The sequence below is a fragment of the Homo sapiens genome, chromosome 7, assembly GCF_000001405.40.
Source record: "Homo sapiens chromosome 7, GRCh38.p14 Primary Assembly".
In the NCBI taxonomy this organism is placed as follows: domain Eukaryota; kingdom Metazoa; phylum Chordata; class Mammalia; order Primates; family Hominidae; genus Homo; species Homo sapiens.
The window spans coordinates 6,260,031-6,284,721 of record NC_000007.14 but is presented as its reverse complement, the minus strand read 5'-3'; the positions used below and the strand labels follow the sequence as shown (position 1 = coordinate 6,284,721).

General features: G+C 46.0%; 1 protein-coding gene across 3 annotated transcripts in view, besides 7 other annotated features; it reads left to right on the top strand.

Moving 5' to 3' along the window:
- Positions 218-1,099: an enhancer, noted in NCBI's record as "H3K27ac hESC enhancer chr7:6323254-6324135 (GRCh37/hg19 assembly coordinates)". NCBI's record gives its function as "activates a minimal SCP1, AML or CMV promoter by ChIP-STARR-seq in naive H9 embryonic stem cells {active_cell/tissue: H9 hESC(naive)}" and the evidence as "EXISTENCE:reporter gene assay evidence [ECO:0000049][PMID:30033119]".
- Positions 1,100-1,982: an enhancer, noted in NCBI's record as "H3K27ac hESC enhancer chr7:6322371-6323253 (GRCh37/hg19 assembly coordinates)". NCBI's record gives its function as "activates a minimal SCP1, AML or CMV promoter by ChIP-STARR-seq in naive H9 embryonic stem cells {active_cell/tissue: H9 hESC(naive)}" and the evidence as "EXISTENCE:reporter gene assay evidence [ECO:0000049][PMID:30033119]".
- Positions 11,871-12,230: a silencer, noted in NCBI's record as "silent region_17939". NCBI's record gives its function as "represses an Ori minimal core promoter by ATAC-STARR-seq in GM12878 lymphoblastoid cells {active_cell/tissue: GM12878}" and the evidence as "EXISTENCE:reporter gene assay evidence [ECO:0000049][PMID:35858748]".
- Positions 11,871-12,760: a biological region, named in NCBI's record as "H3K27ac-H3K4me1 hESC enhancer GRCh37_chr7:6311593-6312314".
- Positions 12,039-12,760: an enhancer, noted in NCBI's record as "H3K27ac-H3K4me1 hESC enhancer chr7:6311593-6312314 (GRCh37/hg19 assembly coordinates)". NCBI's record gives its function as "activates a minimal SCP1, AML or CMV promoter by ChIP-STARR-seq in naive H9 embryonic stem cells {active_cell/tissue: H9 hESC(naive)}" and the evidence as "EXISTENCE:reporter gene assay evidence [ECO:0000049][PMID:30033119]".
- Positions 12,098-24,691, top strand: part of CYTH3 (cytohesin 3) — a 110,846-nt gene continuing 98,252 nt past the window's right edge. For all 3 annotated transcript variants that reach the window (NM_004227.4, NM_001367580.1, NM_001367581.1), the window contains exon 1: positions 12,098-12,248. In NM_004227.4, the coding sequence (NP_004218.1) occupies positions 12,215-12,248 (34 nt within the window). In that variant the 5' untranslated portion in view covers positions 12,098-12,214. The remainder of the gene's footprint in view (positions 12,249-24,691) is intronic.
- Positions 12,551-12,720: a silencer, noted in NCBI's record as "silent region_17938". NCBI's record gives its function as "represses an Ori minimal core promoter by ATAC-STARR-seq in GM12878 lymphoblastoid cells {active_cell/tissue: GM12878}" and the evidence as "EXISTENCE:reporter gene assay evidence [ECO:0000049][PMID:35858748]".
- Positions 12,761-13,483: an enhancer, noted in NCBI's record as "H3K27ac-H3K4me1 hESC enhancer chr7:6310870-6311592 (GRCh37/hg19 assembly coordinates)". NCBI's record gives its function as "activates a minimal SCP1, AML or CMV promoter by ChIP-STARR-seq in naive H9 embryonic stem cells {active_cell/tissue: H9 hESC(naive)}" and the evidence as "EXISTENCE:reporter gene assay evidence [ECO:0000049][PMID:30033119]".

Below are 24,691 nucleotides of genomic sequence, written 5' to 3'. Positions count from 1 at the left end.
GAGGTCGAGGCTGCAGTCAGCTGTGATTGTGCCACTGCACCAGCCTGGGCAACAGAGTGAGACACTGTCTCCCACTTCCTGAAAAATGATACAGATCTGTTCCATGATCTCAAATGCCAGAGAGCCTCCTGCTTCCCTGCTGCAGTCACACCACTCTCCTCCCCCACGAACATACCAACCCTTGTCAATCACTAATCTGTTTTCCATCTTTACAATGTTGTCATTTTGAAAATGTTACATAAATGAATTCCTATAGTATGTGATCTTTTGAGATTGGCTTTTATCGCTCAATGTAATGCCCTTGAGATGCGTCCAAACTGATGCTCATATTGTTTGTTCATATTTTTATTGTTGAGTAGTATTCCATGGTATGGACGTACCAGTTTAATTTTTTACTTATTGTAGGACACCTTGGTTGTTTCCTGTTTTTGGTTATTACGAATAAATTGCTGTGAGTATTCATGTCTGTGGTTTTGCTGGGACATAACTTTTTTGATTGTTTGTTTTGAGACAATGAAATCACTCCGTTGCCTAGGCTGCAGTGCAGTGGCAGGATCACGGCTCACTGCGGCCTCCACCTCCTGGGCTCAAGTGATCCTACTGCCTTAGCCTCCCGAGTAGCTGGAACTGCAGGCTCATGCCACCACGTCCAGCTAATTTTTGTATTCTTTGTAGAAATGGGGTCTTGCTGTGTTACCAAGGCTGGTCTCAAACTCCTGGGCTCAAAGGATCCGCTCACCCCAGCCTCCTAAAGCGCTGGGACTACAGGCATGACCCACCATGCCCAGCCGAACATAACTTTTTTTTTTTTTGAGACAGAATCTTGTTCTGTCTCCCAGGCTGGAGTGCAGTGGCGCAACCTTGAGGGCTCACTGCAATCTCCGCCTCCCAGGTTCCAGAGATTCTCCTGCCTCAGCCTCCTGAGTAGCTGGGATCACAGGCGCCCACCACCATGCCAGGCTAATGTTTTGTATTTTTAGTACAGATGGGGTTTCACCATGTTGGCCAGGCTTGTCTCAAGCTCCTGACCTCAAGTGATCTGCCCGCCTCGGCCTCCCAAATTGCTGGAATTACAGGCATGAGCCACCACGCCCAACCCTGGATTCTTTTTTTTCCTGCTAAGTTTTAGAGTTCTTTATACATTCTAGGAATGAGTAAGCTTTCAGATATGCAACACATTTCTCCCTGCAAATATTGGAAATATTTTTGCAATTATTTTCTCCCTTTGTGGCTTTTTTTTTTATCCTTTTAATTGGGTCCTTCACAGAGTATAAGTTTTAAATTTTGATGAAGTTCAGTTTATTGATGTTTTTTCTTTTATGGATCATGTGTTTTTGTTGTTGTTGTTGAGACAGACTCTGGCTCTTTTTCCCAGGCTGGAGTGCAGTGGTGTGATCTCGACTCGCTGCAACCTCTGCCTCCCAGGCTCAAGCCATCCTCCCAACTTAGCCTCCTGAGTAGCTGGAACTACAGGCATGTGCACCACCATGACTGGCTAATTTTTGTGTTTTTGGTAGAGACAGGGTTTCTTCATGTTGCCCAGGCTGGTCTCAAACCCCTAAGCTCAAGCAATCTGCCTGCCTTGGCCTCCTGAACTGTTGGGATTACAGGCGTGAGCCACCATGCCCGGCTGGATTGTGCTTTTCAAAGTGTCATGTCTGGCCGGGTGCGGTGGCTCATGCCTGTAATCCCAGCACTTTGGGAGGCCGAGGTGGGCGGATCACGAGGTCAGGAGACTGAGAGCATCCTGGCTAACACGGTGAAACCCCGTCTCTACTAAACATACAAAAAAAAAAAAAATAGCTGGGCGTGGTGGCAGATGTCTGTAGTCCCAGCTACTTGGGAGGGTGAGGCAGGAGAATGGCATGAACCTAGGAGGCGGAGCTTGCAGTGAGCCAAGATCACACCACTGCACTCCAGCCTGGGCGAGAGAGTGAGACTCTGTCTCAAAAAAAAAAAAAAAGAAAGAAAGAAAGTGTCATATCTAAAAACTTTTCACTAAGCTGTAAGTCCCAAAGATTTTCTCCTGTTGCCTTCTAAAAGCATGGTTTTCACACTTGGCATTTAAATCTATGATTCTTTTTTTTTTTTTTTTGAGATGGAGTCTCGCTCTGTCACCCAGGCTGGAGTGCAGTGGTGCGATCTCGGCTCACTGCAATCTCCACCTCCCAGGTTCAAGCAATTCTCCTGTCTCAGCCTCCTGAGTAGCTGGGATTACAGGCACCCACCGCCATGCCTGGCTAATTTTTGTATTTTTAGTAGAGATGGGGGTTTCACCATATTGGTCAGGCTGGTCTCGAACTCCTGACCTCAGGTGATCCACCCACCTCGGCCTGCCAAAGTGCTGGGATTACAGGAGTGAACCACTGCACCCAACCCTATGATTCATTTTGAGTTAATATTTGTATAAGTTAATTTTTGTCAGGTTTCTTTTTTTTTTCAATTTTATTGGCTATTCTTACATTGCTATACTTTTTTTTGGCCTATAAATATCCAATTGCTCCAGCACCATTTGTTGAAAGACTATCCTTCCTCCATTGAATGGCTGTTAGTCTGTTGTCAAAAAATCGTTTGTCTGTAATCCTAGCACACGCCTGTAATCCCAGCACTTTGGAAGGCTGAGGTGGGCAGATTGCATGAGCCCAGGAGTTCAAGACCAGTGTGGGCAACATAGCGAGACCCTGTCTCCACAAAAAATACAAAAATTATCCAGGCATGGTGGTGTGCGCCTATAGTCCCAGCTACTTGGGAGGCTGAGGTGGGAGGATGGCTTGAGCCTGGGAGGTGGAGGTTGCAGTGAGCCAAGATCATGCCATTGCATTCCATCCTGGGTGACACAGCCAGATCGTGTCTCAAAAAAAAATCAGGTGGCTGTACTTGTGTGAGGTTACTCCTGCCTACTGTATTCCATTCACCTGTGTATCTGTCTTTCAGCCAATACCACATGGTCTTCATTACTAGAGCTACGTAGTAAGTCTTGAAATTGGGTACAGTGATTTCTCCTACTTTTTCTTTTTCCAAATTGTTTGAGCTATTTTATTTTATTTATTTATTTATTTTTGAGACAAAGTCTCAATCTGTTGCCCAGGCAGGAGTGCGGTGGCACAATCTTGGCTCACTGCAACCTCCACCTCCTGGGTTCAAGCGATTCTCCTACCTCAGCCACCAGAGTAGCTGGGACTACAGGCATACGCCACCACGCCCAGCTGATTTTTATACTTTTAGTAGAGACAGGGTTTCACCATGTTGGCCAGGCTAGTCTCGAACTCCTGACCTCAAGTGATCCACCCACCTTGGCCTCCCAAAGTGCTGGAATTACAGGCGTGAGCCACTGTGCCCAGCCTGTTTGAGCTATTTTAGTTCCTTTGTCTTTCTATGTAAGTTTTAGAATAATCTTGGCTATATTTACTAAACATCTTGCTGGAATTTTGATAGGAATTGCTTTAAACCTGTATCTCAATTTGGGGAGAATTGGTATCTTTACTATGTTGAGTATTCTAATCCACGAACACAACATGCCTCCCTGTTTATTTGGATCTAGTTTGAGTTCTTCTATTTCAGTGTTTTGTCATTTTCAACATACAAATCCTGTACATGTTTTGTTAAATTTACACTCACGTGTTTTATTTATTTATTTATTTTTTGAGACGGAGTTTCGTTCTTGTTGCAAAGGCTGGAGTGCAATGGTGCGATCTCGGCTCACCGCAACCTCTGCCTCTCAGGTTCAAGCGATTCTCCTGCCTCAGCCTCCCGAGTAGCTGGGACTACAGGCATGTGCCACCACTCCCGGCTAATTTTGTATTTTTAATAGAGACAGGGTTTCTCCATGTTGGTCAGGCTGGTCTTGAACTCCCAACCTCAGGTGATTCGCCTACCTTGGCCTCCCAAAGTGCTGGGATTACAGGCGTGAGCCACTGGGTCCAGTCTTCACGTGTGTGTTTTTTTTTTTTCCAAGAAATTGTACATTGCATTTTGTTTCAAATTTTAGAGTCCACATTTTCATTGCTAGTACATATTAATAGAAATACAATTGATTTATATATATTAATCTCATATCCTGTAACCTTGCTGAATTCACTTATGAGTTCTAGGAGGTTTTTGTAGATTGTTTGGAATTTTCTTTTCTTTCTTTTCTTTTTTTTTTTTTTGAGACGGTCTCACTCTGTTGCCCAGGCTAGAGAGCAGTGGCATGATCTTGGCTCACTGCAACCTCTGCCTCCCGGGTTCATGTGATTCTCCTGCCTCAGCCTCCCCAGTAACTGGGATTACAGGTGCCCGCCACCACGCCCAGTTAATTTTTGTATTTTTAGTAGAGACAAGGTTTCACCATGTTGACCAGGCTGGTCTTCAAACTGAGCTCAAGTGATCCTCCCGCCTCGGCCCCCCAGTGTGCTGGGATTACAGCATGAGGCACCACACCCAGCTGGAATTTTCTGTGTAGACATTTTTTCTATATAGACCTATTTTTTTTTTTTAGGCGGGGTCTCACTCTGTTGCCCAGGCTGGAGTGCAGTAGTGGCGTGATCACAGCTCACTGCAGGCTCAAACTCCTGGACTCAACCAATCCTCCCACCCCAGTCTCCCAAGTAGCCGGGACTGGAAGTGCATGACACCACACCTAGCTAATTTTTAAGTCTTTTGTAGAGACAGGGTCTCACTATGTTGCCCAGGCTGGTCTCTTTTTAAATTTTTCTAAGTAAAGGAGAGTTGGCCCCTATAAGGGTGTCGTAAATGTCTCCGGGGCCCTCATAGTGATTCCAGGTGCTGAGTTCTGACATGTCCTTCACTGAAGGTCATTGACTGCCTGGGCACGGTGGCTCATGCCTGTCATCCTAGAACTTCAGGAAGCTGGTATGGGAGGATCGCCTCAGCTCAGAAGTTTGAGCTCACTCTGGGCAACATACTGAGACCTTGTGTCTACAAACAATTTTTGAAAATTAGCCAGGCGTGGTGGTGTGTGCCTCTCAGCTCCTCAGGAGGCTGAGGTGGGAGGATTGCTTGAGCCGAGGAGGCTGAGGCTGCAGTGAGCCATGATTACACTATTGCCCTCCAGCTTGGGCCTGACACCCTGTTTCAAAAATAAATAAATAAATACAAATTAAAAAGTCATTGACTGCTGTCTTCTGTTGAATCCCCAGGGCCTATGTGGTGGAGAGGCTAAGAAACAGGTTTTGTTTTGTTTGTAGCAACAAGGTCTCACTCTGTTACCCAGCCTGACCTTGACCTCCTAGCCTCGAGCAATCCTCAACCTCTCAAAGTGCTGGGATTACAGACATGCACCACCATGCCTGTCCAGAAGCAGGTTGCTGAATGAAGAAACTAACATCAAAAAATGAGGCTTGGAGTCCCCAGATTCCCTTATGAAAATGCACACACGTGTCTGTAGCCCTAAGAACCCAGTTATTTGGCAGACTGATGAGGTATGCAGTGGAGACACCTGAGCAGGGACCACGGACCATGGCAGGGGTGAGTTCCAGAAGGCAAACTTGGAGGGAGAGACAGCAACGAGAAGGTGGCGGTGGAAGGAGGGAGCCCTCACTGAAACTCAGCTTTGCCTCCCAGCTTGGCAGACAGATTCCTTCTGGCTTGTGAATCAGAAGGCGGGAAAAATTCCTACTTCTGTGGATAACAATGACGAGTATTTATTGAGTGCTTATTGTGTGCTACACACTGTATATGACAGCATCCGGTTCTCACAGTAAGTGTATGGGCCGGGGTTGTTGTTGGTTCCATTTCACAGAAATTTCACAGGAACTAGGGCACAGAGAGGTGAAGCAACTTGCCCAAGGTCACACAGCCAAGAAACAAAAGTGCCTGGGCCATCTGATTTTAGAGCCTAGGTAGTACCTTGTGATATATCATGGCTGGGACCCAGTGACAATTACGGGTCATTACTCGGTGTAATGACCAGAACTCATGGATGGCTTTTGCTGTCCTACAAGCCAAATTGCAGTATCACATTGGTGTGGGTGCTGTTAGGCCCTCCAGATCACAATGCCCTGTGACTGGTGTTGGGACGCTTGATTGCTGGTAGGAGCACACTTTCTTTTTTGAGACGGAGTCTCACTCTGTCTCCCAGGCTGGAGTGCAGTGACATGATCTCAGCTCACTGCAACCTCCGCCTCTCGGGTTCAAGCGATTCTCCTGCCTCAGCCTCCTGAGCAGCTGGGATTACAGGTGCGCATCACCACACCCAGCTAATTTTCGTATTTTTAGTAGAGGTGGGGTTTCACTATGTTGGGTCAAGCTCATCTGAACTCCTGATCTCGTGATCTGCCCGCCTCGGCCTCCCGAAGTGCTGGGATTACAGGCGGGAGCCACTGCGCCCGGCCTAGGAGCACATTTTCTATTCCAAGGACCATGATCGCAGACACAGATGTGCTACATCTTGTTGGTTGTCATTTTCACCCTTTTTCTTTTTAATTGCCTGTCCAATAGTACACTCTGCACCCCAGGATGGATTCTCTTGATGATTTTAAGCTGCACGCTGCAGACTCTGACCAACTTAATTTTTTAAATTAATTTTTTTTGTTGTTTTTAGTAGGTCAGGGACATACTATAGAAATGAAGAACCAGGCCAGGCTCAGTGGCTCATGCCTGCAATCCCAGCACTTTGGGAGGCCGAGGTAGGAGGATCGCTTGAGCCCAGGAGTTCGGGACCAACCTGGGCAACACAGTGAAAATCTACAAAAATAAATAAATAAATAAAAAATTAGCTGGGTGTGGTGGTGCTCGCCTGTGGTCCCAGTTTTCCAGGAGGCTGAGGTGGGAGGGTTGTTTGAGGCCAGGAGTTTGAGGCTGCAGTGAGCTGTGATTGCACCACTGCACTCCAGCCTGGGCAACAGAGCGAGACCCTATCTCAAAAAAATAAGAAGTAGATAAAAATAACCGTTTTTAGTAGTATAGAAGACACCTTGTATATAATAACTCTTAGTATTGAGGCTGCTTTGAGTGGATATAATGTTTTTCTGCCAATGACAAATAGCTCAAACTGTGGTCAAATTATTTGTTCCAAGTTTACCACAGAGAAATCTGACTACCTTTGTTCTTACAAAAATGCAAGTCACTAATCAATCTAAAAGGAATTAAGCTGCCCTTGGTAATGTGAGGCCAGGGAACTGATGTCAATTGTGTGGATTATTCTGGGGATAGAAGAAGAAGGCCAAGGTGGACTGCATTGAACGGCTGGAACGAGAGACAGAGTATTGTGAAGGCTGGAATGTCTGGGCTTTTGAAAATTTAATAAGGATGTGACTTGACTCTTGGACCCCTGTCATTTGCCTGAGCAGAACGGAGTATGTTAATTTGCACGAGATCATCTCCATTCCAATGAGATGTTTTCTTTCCTTAATGAAATTAGGTTGCAGAAAGCATTCCTTTTCTTTCCTACCTGTGAGCTGACAGTGAGCTGGCCACAGTGCGTGTCTTCTCCGGACTGTGACAGATCCCCGATGTAACAGATTACTTGAGTCCCCATCTGCTGACAGTCACATTTGTGCCTGCATTTCTTAACTGTTATTAGGGGAGATGAGAGCTGCTCCAGGCAGGGTCTGGAGTAGCTCTAGCCTGGGTAGCTCGGGAAGCCTCTTTATGGCCAAGCATCAAGAAACCGTCCTTGGCAGGGTTTTGGCTCTTGTGACCCTCAGCGCTGGGAGAGGACACTTCTGTCCGATTTCGCAGACTTTCACTTGGAGGATGGATGAATGTACAAAGAAGTCCTCTGACCTTTCCGGAATGTTCACATTCTTGATTTCTTAAACTATTTCTGCAGTGGTCAAAAGGCTGATAAATGGGTTTCAACATGTTTTCAAAATGTTTCCCATTTTTGATGGCCCTGTTCATCCAGCAGTGGTAACAAATATTGTTGTTTTCGCTTTTTTGACATGGCCACACCCTGCAGCAGACAGCAGAGACAGAATAAATACAGACTACAGTCTCTGTCCTGAAGGAGTTTTTTGTTTTTTGTTTTGTTTTGAGATAGGGTCTCACTCTGTTGCCCACGTTGAAGTGCGGTGTTGCGATCCCGGCTCACTGTAGCCTCAACCTCTGGGCTTAGTCTCCTGAATAGCTGGGACTACAAGTGTGCACCACTGCACCCGGCTAATATATATATATACATTTTGAGACAGGGTCTGGCTCTGTCACCCAGAGTGGAGTGCAGTGGTGCGATCTCGACTCACTGCAACCTCTGCCGTCCAGACTCAAGCGATCCTCCTACCTCAGCCTCCCCAGTAGCTGGGACTACAGGCTTGTGTCACCATGCCCAGCTAATTATACTTTGTACTTTTTGTAGAGATAGGGTTTTGCTGTGTTGCCCAGGCTGATCTTGAACTCCTGAGCTCAAAGGATCCACCTGTTTTGTCCTCCCAAAGTGCTGGGATTACAGGTGTGATTTATTTTTTATTTTATTTTTTTTGTACAGACATGGTTCGCTATGTTGCCCAGGCTGGTCCTGAACTCCTGGGCGCAAGCGATCCTCCTGCCTTGGCATCTGAAAGTGCTGGGATTACAGGCATGAGCCACCGCCCAGCCCTGAAGCAGTTTTAAGTCTGCAAAGCCAATTCACATGAAATAGCAAATACTATGAGAAAGTCTACAGAGTCAGATGTCAAAATTACAATTTTTTTTTTTTTTTTTTGAGACGGAGTCTCGCTCCTGTCGCCCATGCTGGAGTGCAGTGGCGTGATCTCGGCTCACTGCAACCTCTGCCTCCTGGGTTCAAGTGATTTTCCTGCCTCAGCTTCCTGAATAGCTGGGGTTACAGGCGCCCGCCACCGTGCCTGGCTAATTTTTGTAGTTTAGTAGAGACAGGGTTTCACCATGTTGGCCAGGCTGATCTCGAACTCCTGACCTCAAGTGATCTGCCTGCCTCGGCCTCCCAAACTGCTAGGATTATAGGCATGAGCCATCGTGCCTGGCCATGCCCGGCTAATTTTTTATATTTTTGGTAGAGATGGGGTTTCATCATGTTGGCCAGGCTGGTCTTGAACTCTTGACCTCATGATCTGCCCGCCTCAGCCTCCCAAAGTGCTGGGATTACAGGTATGAGCCACTGCGCCCCGCCCCTAAAGCAGTTTTAAGGCTGCAAAGCCAATTCACACGAAACAGCAAATACTATGAGAAAGTCTACAGAGTCAGATATCAAAATTACAATTACATAATTATTTGCTTAATGGCTGTATTCCTTCTAGGCCATCCGTTCCATAAGCCTGGGGACTGGGCCGGGTGCGGTGGTTTACGCCTATAATCCCAGCACTTTGGGAGGCTGAGATGGGTGGATCACGAGGTCAGGAGATCGAGACCATCCTGGCTAATATGGTGAAACCCCGTCTCTACTAAAAATACAAAAAATTATCTGGGCATGGTGGCGGGCGCCTGTAGTCCTAGCTACTCGGGAGGCTGAGGCAGGAGAATGGCTAGAACCCGGGAGGCAGAGCTTGCAGTGAGCCAAGATAGCGCCACTACACTCCAGCCTGGGCGACAGAGTGAGACTCTGTGTCAAAAAACAAAAACAAAAACAAAAACAAAAACAAAAACAAAACCTGGGGACTGAATTTACCTTTTTCATCATTTTCCCAGCACCTAGAACAGTGTCTGGAATACAGGAGGTGCCTAAATATTTATCATCTGACCAAATGATTGCAATGATTTAATAATTGGGTTTAATACTTGTTATTCTGCAGCAATGCCTGCTGCATGAATTATTTTCCTCACAAATTCACTTATAAAACTTTCAACATCTGAGCAAACCACTCATAAACTATGCATAAAGTGAGTGCCTATCTTAGTGAGTAACTAAAATACTTAAAGTTCCTATATGTAGAGATAATACGTATGTAAGCAGATTAGATCATTGCTATCTTGGTGGGATTTGAGAGATGCTGGAAAGCACTTCTTTTTGAAAATATGTAATTTTTCCATTAGATATTAATTCCTTCGAGTTGTGAAGATTTTGAAGTCTTCCAATTTCCCCATTAAAGCACAGAAATGACACCCAAAGCCTTTATCCCCCCCAACATTTTTGCAGAATTTGTTGAAATGCAAGCCCAGGCTAAACCATGGGGATAATGTAATATCCTCCTTATATAACTGGGCTGTGCTTTAGTCTGATGAAAATTAGATTAGATGGAGATCAGAGAAGCCACTTTCAGATTAAAACTCTGAGAAAAGCACCTGTGGATCACATTCTAAGACACCTAAAGAATTAAGATTGACATGAAAAAGCATTTATAATTGATAGTATCTTTGAGTTCAAAGCTCTGCATATCTCATTATCAAGTTCAAAGTAATGCTGTCATTTTTTCTCAGTAACGATGCTCTTATCTCCAAGATGACAAAGCTGACGGGAACAAGATCAGGAAGCCGAGTCTGGGGGTTGGGAGTTGAACCCTACATCTCCTGACTCCCAGACCCCTTTTCTGGTGCCTCTTTGTCACTCAAGCTGTCAAACACCTTTGCACGCAGCAGTGTCCCTTGGCTGGGTGTGGTGGCTCATGCCTGTAATCCCAGCACTTCGGGAGGTCAAGGTGGGAGGATCGCTTGAGTCCAGAAGTTTGAGACAAGCATGGGCAAACATGGCAAGATCTCGTCTCTAAAAAAGAATACAAAAATTAACCGATGCATGGTGGCATGTACCTATGGTCCCAGCTATTTGGGAGGCTGAAGTGTGAGGATCACTCGAGACACTGCATGCCAGACTGGGCAATAGAGCGAGACCCTGTCTCAAAAAAAAAGTGTCCCTCGTGGGTTTGGTTGCATGAGAATGCTTGGTGTTCAATTCTTGAGGTTATTAGAAGATTGAACTTTGAAATCATCCCGCAACCTTGAACCAAAAGGTGAAATTGTCCACTTTGATAGATGACAACGGAAGGATCCTTTGGTTCAATGGACAGCTTGTAAATATAAAACAGTTGCTGGAAAATTATATTAGAGATGAGCTATCTCCTCCATTACAATGTTTGCTTTTCTTTAATGCGATTGAGTTCCAACAGAAAGGCTTGGGAGGGGCCACAAGCAATGCTTCAGGAGTTACTGGAAGAGAGATATGGGGAGTGAGAGAGGAGATCCATCGATGTGGAGCAGGGGCCAGGGGAGGCCTTCTGCCCAGGAGGCCTGTGCTGAGGACCCTGGCTGTGCCCAAGGGAAACTGAATTCAGAGCTCCTCCTGCATCATAAATCCAGGACAGCTGGCAGCTCTCCAAGGAAGACTGGCGCTAAACTCCAAGGGCATCAGCCGCCAGATTGGCCAACCCCTACAATGCCCTTTGAGAGCTGAGCCCCAGGTGTGTTGAATCGGGATTCCGTTCCAACCTCATGACCACATTCATTTACAAGCCCTGCATTTTGTTAATTTAAAAATGCACTCACCAGGAGGGAAGGAGGAGAGGCTCCATTAAATATAAGACAGCTGAAAGGCTGGAATTCTTCTGACATGCATGTCTTAGGAAGGAGAAGGCCTGACCTTGTTCTTTTTTTTTTTGAGACAGGGTCTCACTCTGTCACCCAGACTGGAGTGCAGTGGTGCAATAATAACTCACTGCAGCCTCTACCTACTGGGCTCAAGTGACGTGACCTCCCACCTCAGCCTCCCCAGTAGCTGGAACTACAGGCACATGCCACCATGCCTGGGTCGCTATGTTATCGGGGCTGGTCTCCAACTTTTGTTCTCCAGCGATCCTCCCACCTCAGCCTCTCAAAGTATTGGAATACAGGTGTGAGCCACCGAGCCTGGCCAGGCCTGACTTCTGAATGCATTCGTTTCTTGATCTTTTACCCCGAGTGCACGTGCAAGTTGCACCCCTGGCCACTGGGTTTTGCAGAGTGTGGCGTTCCAGTGTCCGGGGCCCCACGCCCGTCCGCAGGCTACTGGAATGCTGAGGGCGAGGAGGCTTCGCTCCACGCACACCGGATCGGCCTGCACTTCAGGGGCCAGGTCTACAGCCTTCCCCAGCGCAGACGCCGCCGGCCCGGCCGGTTCCCGAGGGCGGGGCTGCGCGGCCTCACGCCCCGCCCACCGCGGGCAGAGGCGGGGCATGGGTCACGTGACGGCACGCCGACCAGCGAGGCCCCGCCCGGCGGGAGGAGGCCCGGCCGCGACCCGGGCCGCGCGCTGAGGAGCCGCCCGGTCGCCTGCGCGCTCCCTCCGGCGGCGTCCCCAGCCCGCGGCCCCTCTGCTGCCGGCCCCCGGCTCGCCGGCTGCGGGAGTGGCCTCAAGATGGATGAAGACGGCGGCGGCGAGGGTGGTGGCGGTGAGTGTCGGAGGTGTGGTGGGCTCGCCGGCGGCCTGGGGTCGGGGGCCGGGGGCTGGGGGTCGAGGGCGCGGCGCTGGGCCGGGGTTCGCCGGAGGAGACGGGGTCGGGGGCAGCGGCAGCGGCGTCCGCTGGAGGCCTGAGGCACGCCGGGCCAGGGCCGAGGCTGGGTCTCCGGGGGCCGAGGGAGGGGGCGGGCCGGGGTCGCCGTTCGGCGCTGGCGAGGGTCTGGGTACCAGGCCGGGGCTGCCGCGGGCTGGGGTCGCCCCGGAGTCTCGGGCCGGGGTTTGGGTGTCGCTCCTCTGGGGCGGGGGACCTTGCGGGGCGACCTTCCCCGCATCTTGTCGCCAAGGGCGTTCATGCCCTCCGGAGCCCGGCGTTTCGGACGCCCCCTTTCAGCTCAGGTGGGCGGAAGCGGCTGAGCCGGTGGGAAACCGGGAGGGGAAAGTTTTGCACTGGAGGCTCCTCGAGTGTACAGGACGGGAGGGCAGGGGAAACGGTTGGAAAGCGTGACAGTCTGCTTGGCTTTGGGTCAGAAACGGTCGCTGGATTTGCTCGAACGGGGAGGGGGCCAGCTGGAGTTCAGTTCAGGGTAGACGTTTTAGGAAACGGCAGACGCGACAGATTGAGCAAAAAACTCCGTGGAGCCGAGGGTGGGAGACACGAGCTGCACCCAGCACAGAGGCAAGACCGGAGAGCCAGGTGTGCCCGGAGCCAGGTGTGCTCCCGAGTGGGTCGGGTCGATGCGCGTCGTGGCCCAGGTGGTCTGTGTCTGACGTTCGGTTTCCTCTTGCTGGAGGAATCGTGTTTGTTGGAAATTATTTAGTGGAATACAAATGACTGCTGGGTCATGCTGGGAATTAGATTTTAAAAACAGAGGAACGTGCCTCTGTATGGAGTGGGTGTTCGCTTTGGAAAGCAAAGGGTTAATGCCCGTGTTTTTACAGGAACAGCCGAAGTTGAGGTTCTCTAGACTTTTTTTTTTTTTCCTGAAGATCTCCTTTGAGCTGACAGAGAAATCATCAGAATCATCAGAACCCCATGTAATAAGGGAGCAGTTTAGAGAAATCTTAATTACAGGCTGCCGGTGCAGCTGCCTGTAAGAATCAGCAGTATTGAATGCTTCAGGATGAAGTGGTTCATCATCAAGGTGCCTTCCAGAATTCAAGTGCTGCTCAGAGGGAGATGTTTTTTTGCTGAAAGACGCGATGCAGCCAGGATGGTGGGAAGTTGGCACCCGTCATGGCATTTGGCGAGTTCAGTTCTTATAGTTGAAGCTAGGGGTAGCACTGTGGCACCGAGTGGGTGTGTTGATGGGAGCGCTGTGGAACGAAGGCGCCCAGTTGCGAACCCTCCTACAGTCAGGCTGTCTGGAGCCATGAGATCCTAAGGAATGGGTTCCCGGTGGATGTCGTGTTTCCTGCCTGTCACAATTTGGGCATAGCTGTTTTCCCTTGTTAGAAAAGAAAGACAACTGTAATATGCAGACGTTGGACATTAGCGTCAAGGCAGCTAGCTGGCTTGGCAGTTTTGTTTGTAAGGTGCTTTGGGCTCTGTGAGTAAAGAAATGTAGACTTGAAGATTAAAGCAGGAATAAAGAGGAAAAGAGGAGGCTTTAATGTGCTCCAGCAATTTGCAGGTCTTGAGTACTATAACAAAGGATGATATGAAGTATCAAAAGTCTTAAAATTGTCCTTGGGTTGTTAGTATCTCTTCTGGGAATATATCACAGGGAAGCAACCTTGAAATAAACCCCTCACGTATAAAGATGTGTATTATGCTGTTTAAAATAGCAAAAAATTGGAAACAGCAACGCCAACAGCAGGGGCATGGTGAGGTAAATTATGGGAAGTTTATTGAAGTATTTTACAACCATTAAAATAAGCAGTTTTATACATCATGGTTTAAACAACATAAACATTGGTGACATTATGGATTATTTTATTTTCTTTTTATATTTTCCAGGTTTCTGGAATAAGTGTGTATTTCAGATTGGAAAAAAACCATCAAAGACGTGAATGTTTTAAGTGTATCATTTAATTCATCTCACTGGAACATTCAACAATGAAGATTTATTTATTGATTGCCCATCAAAATGCTAGCCAGCATGTTAGGTGCTGGAAAATAACTTTTAACCTTTATTGATTTAGTTTATGACTAGCTTTCTCCCTTGCTTTGTGACAGACACTTAAAAATATTTTTGGCAATATTAGGATATTTATTTTTGAAACAGGTGAAAAGCAAAGTTTTGAAATATGAGTGATATTGTAATTATTGTATAAACTTTATGTGCTTACATTTAACTCTTGGCTGTTGTAAGTTTTGAAGTTAACATACCTCTTTACAGTTAATACCTTTTAGATTTTTAAATGCTTTAAAATTCATGTTTAAAAAAATAAAGTTGAGCTCTTTTAAAGAAAACCGTTTCAGCTGCCAGCAGATTATAAAGCATAACATTTTTTGGTATATTTTTAGAGTGTAGTACATAATGTTGAACTGTATCTGGGGGAGTCAGTTAAAGCTTGTTTAAAAGATAGGGTAAATAATCTATTCAAACAGTAGTTATGGTAGAAGCCAAAGATAATTGAAAAGGTCTTTTTTTTGTTAATGGTCAGGTTAAAAGACTTGAAAAATTGATTCCTACTTGCTATTTTTATAAGTTAATTTAGCTTTTTGTCCACTGTATTGTTCTTTCAATGCAAGATAAGGAGAGAGAGGATGGTGGCATGAATGGCTGGAAGGCAGTTACAAGAGGAGCGAGTGGGGGGCACAAGATTACAAGAACACATTGTTCCTTACAGTGTGTGCAGAGTGTAGTTAAGTCGTTTTTAATTCCTATGGGACTTTGTTGCCTTTCAGTTTTTCGAGAACAGTTCTTGAGCTAATTGGAGGGTAGCTGGCTAGTTTGGCTCATTGGGATTGTCTTCGTGTCCTGTTTGGGCATTTGTCTGATTGATGGTCCTGAATGGACCATCCCTGGCAGATGAGGTGAATTAACTATAATTGGCATTCTTCTCTCTGACCCCTTCACTCCCTGATCAATGTAGGTGTCTGTGCTTCAGGTGAAGAGATGCTGAGCCTTGTTCATAATAAAATACATGCAAATTAAGACTAGATTGAGCTCCCACCTTTCACCTTCAGACAGGTGATAACCCCCAAGTATACAAAGTCTGTTTCAAGTTTGAAATATTTGAACGGCAAGGTCGTTTCAAACATTTACGGGTAAGAGTGTAAAGTAGCCACAGGCAGGGTCAGCCCATGTCCTGTTGGCTCAGATCCGTTTCTTGCCCTTTCCCTGCAGGGACTCACCCCTGCAGGCAACATTTCCCAGGCCCTTGGTCAGCTGGCTTCCGGCTGGGATTGGCCACTGGGAGCCACTGGCAGGAGGAATGGCAGGAAGAAGGACAAAAACAGGTTATTTCCCTTAGGCCTGCCTCAGGGAGTGTCTCTGGCAGGTACCTTGTCTCCTTTTGGCTCCAGCTCCTGCCCCTTGGTCCTAGCCTTTGAGTCTTGGAAATACCTCCTCCCTTTTACCCTCTATTTGAGAAGTGGTAACAGCAGCTTGCTCTTGATAATCTTTGTATTATCATTTCCTGTTTGGCTTTTCAGTTTTTCCATCACCCCTGTCACTAATTCCTTATATTAAATTCCCTCTATATCAGATTCTTAAAGGGATGGTTTCTCTGGATGTCTCTGTTTCTCTGGGTGGACCCTGATAGATACAGGTGCTTTAGGCAGTAGCTTTAAAAATTACAGGCGTGTAAATCCTTTGACCCAGCAATCCAGTTCTAGGAATTTAACCTGCAGATATATTTGTACACGTGTGAGATAACATAGGTACAAGATTATTTATTGCCTTGAGTGTCCATCAGCAAGCAAGAGACTTATCAGATAAATCCATGCCCAGATGGTTAATGAGGTTGTAAAGTTGTAGAAAGGAACGAGGAAGCTCTTTTCTTAGTTGACATGGAGAGATCTCCAAAATATCTTAAGTTACAAGAGCAGGCCGGGCGCGGCGGCTCTCACCTATAATCCTAGCACTTTGGGAGGCCGAGGCGGGTGGATCATTTGAGGTCAGGAATTCAAGACCAGCCTGGGCAGCATGGTGAAACTCCGTTTCTACTAAAAAAATACAAAAATTAGCCGGGAGTGGTGGTGCGTGCCTGTAATCTCAGCTACGCGGGAGGCTGAGGCAGGAGAATCGCTTGAGCCTGGGAGGTGCAGGTTGCGGTGAGTGAGATTGCGCCACTGCATTCCAGTCTGGGCAACAGAGTGAGACCCTGTCTCAAAAAAACAAAACAAAATTACAAGAGCAAAGTGTAGGAAAGTGTGCATTGCGTGCTCCCATTCTTGTGTTTTGAAAGAGGAGGTAATGGCTGATGCATGCAGATTCCCTGGAAGGTGAAAGGAGGAACCAATAACAATGGTTACCTGATTGGGGAAGATGATGGGAACTGAGTGGATGGGGAATATAGGTGGGAAGGAAACTTTTCACTATGCGCCTTTTTATTTTTTGAAATTCAAAAAAGTTTGAATAATCTGTCTTCACTTTTTCTAAAATTGGAAAGCAGTTTCATAGAAAAATAGTATGATGGTAAGAAAATACCCATTTTACACCTTTTTTGAGGGAATTTTTATAGATTAAAAAATACAGCTGGGCGCAATGGCTCACGCCTGTAATCCCAGCACTTTGGGAGGCCAAGGCGGGTAGATCATGAGGTCAGGAGTTCGAGACCAGTCTGGCCAATGTGGTGAAACCCCGTCTCTACTAAAAATACAAAAATTAGCCGGGCATAGTGATGCGCACCTGTAGTCCCAGCTGCTCGAGAGGCTGAGGCAGGAGAATTGCTTGAACCCTGGAGGCAGAGGTTGCAATGAGCCGAGATAGCGCCACTGCCTGGCGACAGAGTGAGACTCGGTCTCAAAACAAACAAACAAAATATTCTGGGAAGACCGCAACAAAAAGATAATGTGATATGCAATGTAAGGTTATAAAATGTTACCTATTTTTCATTCTGTAGTAAGTTAACTACTGTATTTTTGAGAGTTTAAAAAGTGGATGCTTTTAGATTATGCTTAGAGTATATTCTTTTGTAGTCATTTACTCAAATGTTGATGGTGTCTCTACCAAATACCAGGTTCTATGCATGGCACAAGAGCTATTAGTGCCTGTGTCATGCCGTTTTTGCATTGCTATAAAGAAGTACCTGAGCCTGGGTTATATATAAAGGAAAGAGGTTTCATGGACTCATGGTTGTGCAGGCTGTAGCTGTACAGGCATGGTGCCAGCATCTGCTCGGCTCCTGGGGAGGCCTCAGGGAGCTTTTTACTCATAATGGAAGGTGAAGCAGGATCAGGCACATCACATGGCTAGAGCAGGAGCAAGAGGGAAGAGATGCCACGCCCTTAAACGACCAGATCTCAGGAGTCCTCACTCACTATTGCAAGGGCAGCACTGAGCCATGAGGGATCTGCCTCCATGATCCTGTCGCCTCCCCTCCAAGTCCTGCCTCCAGCATTGGGGATTACAGTTCAACATGAGATTTGGGCGGGGCATATATCCAAACTGTATCAGTGCCTAACAGTGGTGAATACGGCAGATAAATTTCCCACGTTCATGGAGCTCATGTTTAGATGGAGAGACAGACAAAAGAGGTAAACAGCTATATATAAAATAATCATGTATTATGCTAGATGTGTTAAAGGAAATCAACAAGAGGTTGAGGAAGAGAAAGTGTGGGATGGGAGAGGTGTAGGGAAAGCCCGTGGCCAGGGAAGGCCTCTGAGGAAATGCCCTTCGAGGTGCAATCTATAGGGGTAGTGGACCAGACAGAAGGGAAGGCATGGAGCTGGCAAGAGCTGAGTATTCTAGAGAATTAAAAGCAGCTTTGTGTGGCTTGAACAGACAGTGAAGCGGGAGAGATAGACTGGGGCCATGTCAGGCTTTCAGTAGCTAAGGAATGCAGATTTTATTCTAAGTACATGAAGCCGCTGAAAGATTTTTAAACGGGGAAATCTCATTTGATTTACATTTCAATAATTTTAGCTAATATTTACTTGATGCTGTATGTCCTGTGTACTTTCTGCGTCTTAATTTATTGACTCTTCATCATATTGCTATTTTCAGATTGGAAAATGGAGGCATAGGGAAGCTAAGTAATTGGTCTGAAATTTCACAGCTAGCAGGTGATGGAGCTGTGATTGGAACCCAAGCCTTCCATTTCAGAATCCGTATTCTCAACCACTGCCCCCTGCTTTTTAAAGAAGCATATTCTTGACTCCTGAGTGGAGAGTGGTTTGGAGGAGAAGGGAGGACTTGGGAGAAGGGAGGTGTTGCAGTGGTTCAGGTGAGAGTTACGGGGCTTGGTGGGTTAGGGTGGTAGTGGGAAATATGGAGGGAAGGATATATATAAAACACATCTGTATAAAACATACAGAAAAGTACAAAGAATAATGAAACCAGCACTCTTGTTCCCACTACTCAGAATTGACATAATAGCTGTCAATGTTCTGTTGCATTTTTTAGGTCCGTTTTTTAAAAAATAAAGCATTACTGGTAAGTCTCTCCATCTCAGTATATTGTGGTGTTCTTCCAGTTGCTCAGGCCAAAATTTTGGTGCCATCTTTCACTTCTTTTGCCTTAAGCCTTCTCATGGTTCTCCCATTGTCATCCTTGTTCACACTGCAGCCAGGGCGATTCCCTTTGACACGCAGGTCATGTCACTCCTCTCTGAAAGTTTGCTCTTTCCTCGGTTTATTGAGAATCCTATTCTCAGACCACCTTACCATGGCCATGGCCCACACGCTGTAGTTTAGGGGCTGCAAGTTCTTCTTCTTCTTTTTTTTTTTTTTTTTGAAATGGAGTCTTGCTCTGTCACCTGGGCTGGAGTGCAGTGGAGCGATCTCGGCTCACTGCAACATCCGCTTCCTGGGCTCAAGTGATTCTCCTGCCTCAGCCTCCTGAGTAGCTGGGACTACAGGCGCGTGCCACCATGCCCGGCTAATTTTTTGTAATTTTTTTTTTTTAATAGATACGGGTTTCACCATATTGGCCAGGCTGGTCTTGAACTCCTGACCTCGTGATCTGCCTGCCTTGGCCTCCCAAAGTGCTGGGATTACAGGCATGAGCCACCACGCCCAGCCAAGCTTTTTTTTCATAAAAGGGCCGGATAGTAAACCTCATAGGCTTTGTGGGCCACATATGATCTCTGTCACAAGTCTTTTTTTTTTTCATAACCTTTTCAATATGTAAAAAACATTCTGACCTTGGGGACTGCCCTTGACTACTACTCTAGTCCCCTGCTATCTCTTTGACATTGTCTGTTGCTCCTCTCCCGTTTCCTCCCTGACTCTGCTCTGTCTCATTGGTCTCCTTGCCAAGCACACTCCTGCCTCAGTGCCTGTGCACTTGCTGCCCCTGTAGTGGTTTCCTCTTAGATACCTGCATGTGGTGTATCCTTGCTTCATTCAAGTTTGTGCTCAAATGTTTCCTTATCACAGAAGTCTTCCTTGACCAACCTATCTAAAATCACATTCATTGTTACTGTCAGCTCTATTTTTCTCCCTTAGCACATGTCACGCCTTACCTATTACATATTTGTTTCTTTTCTCTTACAATGTGAGTTCTGTGAAAGTAAGAATATTTTCTGCTTTTATCCAGTTATATCTCCAAGATCTAGAACAGTGCTTGGTACATAGTAGCCTTTCAGTAAATATTTGTTAATAAATACTGAATAAAGTTGAAGTCACTTGTGTCTAGCAATCCCTGGTCCTTTTGCTCTTTGCTTTCAATGTTTCTTAGAGGCAGCCATTATGAATTCGATATGGGGCCCTCTGGTGTATGGTGTTTTTGTTAGTTTTTTGAGATGGAGTCTCACTCTGTCACCCAGGCTGGAGTGCAGTGGTGTGATCGCAGCTCACTGCAATCTCCATCTCCTGGGTGCAAGCGATTCTTCTGCCTCAGCCTTCCGAGTAGCTGGGATTACAGGCAGGCGCCACCACACCCAGCTAATTTTTGTAATTTTACTAGAGACAGTGTCTCACCTTGTTGGCTAGGCTGCTCTCGAACTCCTGACCGCAAATGATCCACCCGCTTTGGCCTCCCAAAGTGCTTGGATTGCAGGCATGAGCCACCGTGCCCAGCCTGGTATATATTTCATACTTCAACAGATGTGCGTGTGCCTCTGTAAGCAATGTACAGGTCTCCTTTTTGTTTTTTTTTCTTTTGAGACGGAGTTTTGCCCTTGTTGCCCAGGCTGGAGTGCAATGGAGCCATCTTGGCTCACTGCAACCTCCGCTTCCTGGATTCAAGCGATTCTTCTGCCTCACCCTCCTGAGTAGCTGGGATTACAGGTGCCCGCCATCATGCCCAGCTAATTTTTGCATTTTTAGTAGCGATGGGGTTTCACCATGTTGGCCAGGCTGGTCTTGAACTTCTGACCTCAGATGATCTGCCGGCCTCAGCCTCCCAAAGTGCTGGGATTACAGGTGTGAGCAACCGCACCCGGCCCTAATTGGTTTTAAAAAGATTATAAAGCCGAGATCACACTGTATGTAATCTTCTGCAGCTTGCATTAGAGATTATCCTTGTGATTATATATAGACCTTGTTTAATTTAACTGCGATCACGTTTTGTCTATCTTGTCCTGTGTTGAACTTTTTTTTTTTTTTTCCTGAAGTTAGTGTCCTCACTCTGTTTCCCAGGCTGGAGTGCAGTGGTGTGATCTTGGCTCATTGAAACCTCTACCTCCCAGGTTCAAGCGATTCTTCTGCCTTAACCACTTGAGTGGCTGGGATTACAGGCTTGCAACACCATGCCCTGGTAAATTTTTAGTATTTTTAGTAGAGACAGGTTTTTGCTACGTTGGCCAGGCTGGTCTTGAACTCCTGACCTCAAGTGATCCGCCTGCCTCGGCCTTCCAAATTCTGGGATTACAGGTGTGAGCCACCGGGCCTAGCCCTGTGTTCAACTTTTTAATGTCAATGTTACACTGGTGGTGTTACAAACGGTACTGAGGTGAGCTCCCTAGTCTTCTCTCCCCTCACAAATGTGAGTTTATCTAGAGTATATTTCTAGAATTGCAGTTGTGAGTTATAGGCATGCTTCAGTTTTAATAGATAACAGATTGCTTTCTCATTAGGGGCTTGTGAGTAGTGTGATTTCCCAGCATTCTAATCAGCACACAGTGTTTGCCTTACTTTTAAATATTTACCTATCTCATGGGTAAGAAATGATGTATTGCTTTAATTTGTGTTGCTTTATAGTGACAAAATATATATTTTAAAAGCTGTTATATTAGGTTCAGGGGTACATGTGAAGGTTTCTCGTAAGTGAGCTCTTGTTATGGGATGGAATGTATTTTGGAGAATCAGATGGACATACTGTCAGCTTGGAGAAGGTTAGAGGTATAGAAACTGTAGGAATCAAATATGACTTTAGGTTTCTGGCTTGGTAGTGGTGTTGCTTAATGAACAGGGGAAAAAACTATTGTGAGGGTTCATTTTTTTTTTTGGTCAAAAATGCCTTTACTTTGCCTCCACTTAAACACAATTTTTTTATTAGAGTCGCGCTCTGTTGCCCAGGCTGGAGAGCAGTGACGCCATCATAGCTCACTGCAGCCTTGAACTCCTGGGCTCAAGCAGTCCTCCTGCCTCAGCCTCCCGAGTAGCTAGGACTACAGGCATGTGCCACTGTGCTAAGCTTGCCTCTGTTTTTGAAGGATAGTTTCATCAGGATTATAGTTGGAGGCTTTCAAGTTAATTTATTGCAGTTTTTAATTTTTTGTAAAGATGGGAGGTCTCACTATGTTGCTCAGGCTGGTGTTGAACTACTGGCCTCAAGTGATCCAAAGTGTTGGGATTACAGGCATCAGCCATTGAGCCTGGCCTTCCTACAGTGTTTTGAAGGGGTAGTTTTACTGCTTTCTGGCTTCCACTGATTCTGTGGAGAAGTCAGCTGCATCAGTCTTATTGTCACTCTTTTCCAGTTAGTGTGTTTTTTCTTCCCTTTAGGCTGCTTTTAAGATGTTCTCTTTGGGTTTGGTTTTCAGCTGTTATGTGGTGTGTCCAGATGTGGTTTTCCTCAAGTGTATCCTGCTTGGGATTAGTTGTTCTTTTTCTTCTCTTTGGCAGTGCTGTGACAAAGCTTGATCTTAAATTAGATTTACAGAATTCTTGTTCATTATCTCTTCATTGATTGCTTCTGCTGCATTTCCTGTCTCATCTCCTTCCAGGACTGTAATTACCTGTGCATTAAACATGCCCTCTGTGTCGTGTCCTGTATGTCTTAGATTCTTTTCTGTGTCCTTTATCCCTTTGCCTCTCCATCGTTCACTCTGTATCTTCTTCTGACTTATATTCCATTGTAGTAATCCTTTCTTCAGCTGTAATTGCTGTTGAACTCGTTTATTGAGTTCCTAATTTCCATTATTGTCTTTTCCAGTTTTCTTGATTTTTTTTAAAGATTCCAATTTTCTGCTGGCATTTTTTATCTTGTCAACTGCTTTATTGTATGAATCAGAGTTATTTTAAAGTCTGTGTCTGATAACTCCGATATTTGGATGCCTTGTAAGTGTGTTCTGTTGTCTGTTTTATCCTTGGTTTTCAGTCATGTGATCTTGATTCTAGATATGCCTGTTGAGCTTTAATTAAATTCTGGACAATGTATGTGAAAAATTATAGAGATAATTCAAGACCCTGCCTGTTGGCTTCATTTGAGGATTTGGCAGGCAGTTAAAGTAAGGGAATATCACTTTGCCCTTTTTTTTTTTTTTTTTTTTTTTTTTGAGACAGGGTCTCACTCTGTCGCCTAAGCTGAAGCACAGTCAGGCTCAAATGATCCTATGATCCTCCTACCTCAGCCTCCCAAGTAGCTGGGACTACAGGCACATGCCACCATGCCCAGCTAATTATTTTTTATTTTTGTAGAGCCAGGGTCCCACTATGTTTCCCAGACTGGTCTTGAACTCCTGGCCTCAAATGATCTGCCTGCCTCAGCCTCCAAAGGTGCTGGGATTACAGGCCTGAGCCACCTCACCTGGCCGGAATATCACTTTAAAATTATGAGGCATGGTCTATTCTGGTTTACCCTTCTTCTAGGTTATAGCCTTTAGTGGTTCCCACTGAAAGCTTGGGTTGCTTCCCAGGGCCTCTTCTACTTGGCAGCCCCTGAACTCTAATTTTTGTCCCCTCAGTCCCCTAAGACTGGTGGCTATTCTGCTGACCTTCTTGGATTCTCAGTCACTTGTTTCTGTTTGGTATTTTGGCTTCCCAGCTTCTGCTGTGAATTGGCGAATCCCTCAAGGAGAAAAGGGGCCCCGGTGATTGGGCTCACTTTTCTGCACTCCCCTTTTCCCTCTGGAATCCTGGCCTCCAGAGTCCTCACTGCATGGGTAGCTCTCTGATGCCTTCAAACAGTTGTTTCTAATAATTTGTTCAGTTTTTTAAGTTGTTCTTGGCAGAAATGTTGGTCTGCAGTGAGCTAGTCAGCTTTACTGGAAGCAGACTCTCAGGAATTCAATTTTGCTATTTAAAATGGACTTGTTAGTGAGATATCCTGGTGGAGATGGTAGGTAGGCAGTTGGCTGTGTCAGTCTGCTGCTCAGAAGACTAATTTGGGTAGGAGATAAACATTGGGGAGATTTTAATTCATGCGGGTGGAAGAGCTCACATAGGAAAGAGAGTTGAGAGAGGAGAAAAATCCTAGGACTGAGGACAGCACAGCAAAGGGGACTGGGAGGGTAACCAGTGAGGCCTAGGAAGCCTTGAAGATTGTGTGGCATTGCAGAAGAGAGAAGGAGTGATCGATCAGCTGTGTTGAATGCACTTAGAGACGGCCTAAAATGGGGATGGGGACATGTCTACTGGACTTGGTGATGTTAAAGAAAAACAATTTGGGGAGAGGCAGGGAGCTAGCTAGACTGGAGTGGGCTAAGGAGCTAGTGGGGGAAGGTGTGTCTTTGCTGAAGGAAAGGCACGTGCCATGGGCCTTAATTGGAAATGTGGCATGTTATGAGAATAGAGGGGAAGCCTGAGTGGCTGGAGCTCAGTGAGGGAAGGGTATGTTTGTTTTGCAGTGAAATACTTCTCAAGGAAGTTTTCACAGGAGACCAATAATCATTTCTATCAGGCATGTTAGAATAATAATGCTGTTTGCATTTTCACACTCTTAGTATAAGTAACTTTGGGAGAGGTAGATATAGTTTTAAGAAATTATTGGCAGATCCTTTAAAAAGCGGGTTTGTCAGCTTGTAATATGAGACTGTTGAAACTTTTGAAATGAAATGAAATTTTAAAAGTAGGTTTTGTCAAAGTACCCTAAAAGCTGCTTAAGATATATAAAATATTGGCTGGGCGCGGTGGCACACGCCTGTAATCCCAGCACTTTGGGAGGCCGAGGAGGGTGGATCACCTGAGGTTGGGAGTTCCACACCAGCCTGACCACA